General features: G+C 32.4%; 1 protein-coding gene across 1 annotated transcript; it reads left to right on the top strand.

Annotated features, from left to right (window-relative positions):
- Positions 1 to 426: 426 nt before the first annotated feature.
- On the top strand, positions 427 to 5,591 carry OR4K14 (olfactory receptor family 4 subfamily K member 14). Its single transcript, NM_001004712.2, has 2 exons — positions 427 to 591; positions 4,512 to 5,591. The coding sequence occupies exon 2, from the start codon at positions 4,541 to 4,543 to the stop codon at positions 5,471 to 5,473; it is 933 nt and encodes a 310-aa protein (NP_001004712.1). The 5' UTR covers positions 427 to 591; positions 4,512 to 4,540; the 3' UTR covers positions 5,474 to 5,591.
- Positions 5,592 to 5,875: the final 284 nt, after the last annotated feature.

Raw genomic sequence — 5,875 nt, 5'->3', positions numbered from 1 at the left:
TGATGCTCCTTGTATGAGTAAATCTTTTTCAAAGTGTAATGCTTGATCAAAGTTATATAATGTGCAGAGTTGGCAAATTTTCAGCATAATTTTAGAGTGTAACTTGTTAATTTGATTATTTAGAGATAAATTTGTCATTTTATACTTGATTAACTGGATAATGGTATATATAATTCTGCTTGAATTACTAAAATAAATGCAGCTATGCTAATATAATCTGGCAGATCCATAATTATTTTTCTTTTGTCACCTGGAGAAATGAACGTGATTCATTACTGCAAATTTCCACCCTCAGATGATTTATTCCCAAGCCTTTGTTATGGTCATTGGTCACAAATGGCCCATAATTAAAGGATTCTTAATTGGTGGGTGACAGGGTATATTTATAACTTAACTCCAAGGAAGACTCAAATCTGAAGTTCTCTAACTTTAAAATAATGCTTTTCCTGAATTGTTTTTAAGATGCAGAAGAAGATGATTAAATCATCTCTGGGATAAAATATGTGTTTTCAATAGCTCCATTCAAGTATAATAGATGTAAAATATAAATTGGGTGAGCTGCAGTATCAGCACTGAGCATCTTAACTCCAGGTTAGTAAAGAACTTTTGTAATAAATATGAACATGCATGAGATATAAGTCAAATACAGACTAATTGTTATATTATTTTATATATTAAATCGTTGGATTACATCATAATAACTTGCAAGTTGAAGTTAAATTTTTTCATTATTATTTGGATTTATATTTTAATTTAAAAACACCATTGGTTTGTATACAAAATCAATGTCATTTTTTTCTGATTACAAACTTAGTATTTATTTGCTTTTAGATGATTTACACATCATAAAGAGTTCTCAGAAATTAGAACTTTAATCGAGATTATTTATTACAACATCTTTTAATATCCATTTTAAAAACATTGTTGAGGTATAATTTATATATCATAAAGTTCACTCATTTTACATGTTCAATTCAATGGTTTTTAGTGTATTTACAGAGTTGTACAACTATCACCAGTATCTAACTGTAGAACAACTTTGATTCAATAGCAAATTGAGTTCCTTTATGTTTGTTTCCCGAGTTTTCCATCTGATTATTTCAACTTTCTGTTCACTTAATCTTTATTAAAAAGTATATTAAATACAATTATGTTTTAGATTTACAAGCGAAATTTTTCAGGGACATAAAAAGGAAAAGAATATCAATAAAAGTATAGCTCTATGACCTGTGATATATGTGCTAGAATGGGTGTCAGAGGAATCTGACTAAACTTCCTAAGAATTATTGCTTTGTGATTATGTCCCTTCTACCCGTTGGGGATTTTGGCTTCAGACTTAAAATTTCAGACTAAAGATGGGTAGCATCTAATTGTCAAAAAAAGTGTTGCAATTAAATGATTTAATGTAATGTTTTTATAGAAATTCAAGGAGAAGCAAAGCAATTTTGAATTTTCATTATCTTGACAACAGTCTGGTTGAGATGGGTGCTATTTGGGTGGACTAAAGAAGATATGGTAATTATTAATCCCTTTAGATTCTAAAAATCTATTACTATATCAAATTCTCATTATTAGACTATTTCACAACTAGAATAAGTTACTTTATTTCCCTGTAGAAGCCTTACAAGACTCTTCTTTTATGTTACATTCTTCAATTTTATAAAGGAACAACATTAAATGAAGGAGAGTCCTGCATCTTTTTTGTAATTTCTCATGAAGGATTCTATGTGATACCCCTTATTAAAAGCTTTATACAATATTTTCCTCTCAGTGAGGAGAGTGAGACTCCAGTTTATTGCTCATAAAAAAAACTAATTATGGGACCTATGCATCCTGTTCCATTTCATCTGAAAACTCAGAGCTACGTTTTAAAATAACGTGATGAACTTATTAGTCAATCATGTGTAATGGTGAAAACACCCTCAAAAATGATTGCATAGGTTTTATGCTCTGGTCTTTGTTGAGAGGTCTTGGAAATATCTTTTTCAGTGAAAGTCATCCTAACTGCATTTTCTTACTCATTAATCATCCTCCCTTTATTTTCCCACTCTCCCCACTACCCTTCCCATTGTCTAGTAACCATTTTTATACTATCTCCATCAGTTTATTTTGCTCAGCTTCCACATAATAATTTAAAATATTTTTAAAAGAAAGTCATTCTAAATCATCTCGGAGAAAGTTTATAAATAATAAATCTATAAATGATCTAATTCATTTATAGATAGATTTATGTATCTAATCAAATAGGCTTTTTATCCCAAATACAATTAATTTAAAAATGATAAGAGCAAAAATAAAAATCTGTGGGGTGAAGAAACTAAATAAAACCTAGGTTAAGTGATTTATTTCTTCTTGTATTGATTGGTTTTTATACCAAATAAAGTGAGATGAAGAACTGTGTTAGTGTCTTATAGATACAGTCTGAATGAGTGAGTGTGTAAGTGAGTAAATGAATAAGGAAGAAGATAGCCTGACTACTGCCAAGAGAGGTCCTGGAAGGGACTGAGATTTTCAAAATTCCAAAGGAAGTATTATGGAGATAACCAAGTTGGTAAAATAATTAAAAAATGATTGACTAAATATTTTAAATAGATGATTTTATATTATATAAATTGTACCTTAATAAAGTGGTTGGGAAAAAAAAGGAAATATTCCAAGCAGATTAAATATGGAAGAAATCTCAACATTATGGCTCTATAGGAAGCAATTTCTTGAGTTGAAATTTAACTGGAAAATAAGATGCAAATGCCTTGAAGAAGATCTACTTTTTCGCTCATTTAATCAAAAGCATTACAACACATTTTACCATAAATATTTTTATTCATTTTTTAAGAAAAAATGAATTATAATTACAACAAATTAAAAGCGTGATTATGAAGAAATATATTAATAATATAATACTCTATGTCTCTGTTAGGCTGATTATCAGTCTACACTCTTCTCTCTTCCTCCTTTCACCTTTTCTCTCTAGTTTGCTGATTACGGCCCATATTTCCAGCATATTGAAATATTCTATAAGTCTGTAAGTAAATCGTGTCAGATTTGTGCTATCTGTAAACTTGCAAATTATACATATCCAGGTTATTGATGAAGGGCAAGAAAGAGGAAAGAGTCCCACGTTTTGCAATTATAGGCTGTCCTCCCTGATAGCACAGATTAACACTTTAGATTAAAACTTTATGTAAACGAGCCATTATTTAGATCAAATTTTCCTCAGAGATATTATCTGAGAATATCAGAAAAGCCATTCTACAACCCACATATAACACAATAAATGAGACTTTTATAAAATTACTAAGCAACATACATAAGTTGGGTACATGATTTGGGAGCTCATCTGTATTTATACATCACCCCCCGCCCATAGTCGTTATATCCAAAACATGCGTTTTAGCTTAAAGTAATTTTTCTCCTTTAAATTTTGTCATTGAGGAACAAAATTTCCTTCTCTTGGATTCAGGAGAAAGACACGTTAATCATATTTATATACATAGATACATCTACCTATCAACATGCCTTTGCTAGGTTTAGTTTTGTGTTTGTGTGTGTAAATGGAGAGAGAGGAAGAGGAAGAGACACTTAATAATGTACATTCAGTTTCCCATGTCTTACGTGTTGACATTATTTTTAAGTGAAGCTTTAATTTCAATATTTAGTGCTTAACAATAATTAATTACCCATTGGGCAATGATATCGACAGAGATGGTGAGAAGATAGAATCCCTGAAAAAATCTTCATATTCTCAATCCTCCTAAGGAATTTTGGTTCACCTACTGCACTTGATTGATCCATGTTTTTATATGGACAAAGGCCATGGAAAGAAGGAAAAAAAAAGTTCCTACAACTCTCACCTATGCAGAAGTCTTCCAGAATGTCTAACTGCCCCTCAGGAATCACTGAAGTTTGAAAAAGGCAAATATACATGCTTGTTAGTATATAACAGTCTATATTTTAGAGTATCACTTGCAAGTTAAAAATTATACATAGATAACACTTAGTTGATCACTTTCATGTGCCAGGCAGTTGACAGGCATTTTCACTTACTTCTTTTCTTCCTTCCCCTCCCTCTCTCTTTCTTTCTAATTGATAAATGAAAATTATATATGTTTATAATGTACAACATGATGTTTTCATATATGTAAACATTGTGGAATGGCTAAATCACATACTTATTTTCTGTGATGACAATGCAAAACCTACTCTCTTAGTGATTTTCAAGTGTATAATATATTGCTATTAGCTATAATCGCAATGATGTACAATAGATCACTTGAATTTTTTCCTTCTGTCTAATTGAAACTTTGTTCTTTGACGAACTTATCCCTCACCCTTCTCCTTCCCAGCCTCTGGTAACCACCATTTTACTTTCTATTTCTGTAAGTTTGACTTTTTTAGATTCCACATATTAAGTGACATCATTTGATATTTGTCTTTCTGTGCCTGGCTTATTTCACTTAATACAATGTCCTTGAGGTGTTGCTGCAAATGACAGGATTTTTTTCTTTATTTAGATTACAAACAAAGTCTGAAACCTGAGGCAATGGACCCACAGAACTATTCCTTGGTGTCAGAATTTGTGTTGCATGGACTCTGCACTTCACGACATCTTCAAAATTTTTTCTTTATATTTTTCTTTGGGGTCTATGTGGCCATTATGCTGGGTAACCTTCTCATTTTGGTCACTGTAATTTCTGATCCCTGCCTGCACTCCTCCCCTATGTACTTCCTGCTGGGGAACCTAGCTTTCCTGGACATGTGGCTGGCCTCATTTGCCACTCCCAAGATGATCAGGGATTTCCTTAGTGATCAAAAACTCATCTCCTTTGGAGGATGTATGGCTCAAATCTTCTTCTTGCACTTTACTGGTGGGGCTGAGATGGTGCTCCTGGTTTCCATGGCCTATGACAGATATGTGGCCATATGCAAACCCTTGCATTACATGACTTTGATGAGTTGGCAGACTTGCATCAGGCTGGTGCTGGCTTCATGGGTCGTTGGATTTGTGCACTCCATCAGTCAAGTGGCTTTCACTGTAAATTTGCCTTACTGTGGCCCCAATGAGGTAGACAGCTTCTTCTGTGACCTCCCTCTGGTGATCAAACTTGCCTGCATGGACACCTATGTCTTGGGTATAATTATGATCTCAGACAGTGGGTTGCTTTCCTTGAGCTGTTTTCTGCTCCTCCTGATCTCCTACACCGTGATCCTCCTCGCTATCAGACAGCGTGCTGCCGGTAGCACATCCAAAGCACTCTCCACTTGCTCTGCACATATCATGGTAGTGACGCTGTTCTTTGGCCCTTGCATTTTTGTTTATGTGCGGCCTTTCAGTAGGTTCTCTGTGGACAAGCTGCTGTCTGTGTTTTATACCATTTTTACTCCACTCCTGAACCCCATTATCTACACATTGAGAAATGAGGAGATGAAAGCAGCTATGAAGAAACTGCAAAACCGACGGGTGACTTTTCAATGAAATCCAGCCTTCCATAGTGTTAGATGTTTCTATTCATTCAGCAGATATAATTTCTTTAATATAATTCTGCTCAAAGATTTCATTCTGACACTACATTGATATAATTTGTAATGTGTTATATTACAGAGAAACAGTTTATTTCAAGAAAAAATATATCATTTTATTTTATACTACAAATATGTATATATAATGTATTACATATATACATAATGTATGTATTTATATTACAAATATATATACATGTAAGTATATATGTATATATATTTTTGTATATATATACAAAGCTTAAAATATATATACGTACATACATGTATATATGTAATGTAAAATAAAATGATATACATGTCATTTATTTATTCAGAGAAACGATATATTATTATATATTCAGAGAAATGATATATA

The sequence above is a fragment of the Homo sapiens genome, chromosome 14 (assembly GCF_000001405.40).
Source record: "Homo sapiens chromosome 14, GRCh38.p14 Primary Assembly".
In the NCBI taxonomy this organism is placed as follows: domain Eukaryota; kingdom Metazoa; phylum Chordata; class Mammalia; order Primates; family Hominidae; genus Homo; species Homo sapiens.
Note: the sequence above shows the minus strand (reverse complement) of the source record. Positions and strands in the feature narration are given on the sequence as shown.

Coding starts and splice junctions, on each gene's coding strand:
- OR4K14 (NM_001004712.2), top strand. CDS start 4,541: ATGGACCCACAGAACTATTCCTTGGTGTCAGAATTTGTGTTGCATGGA.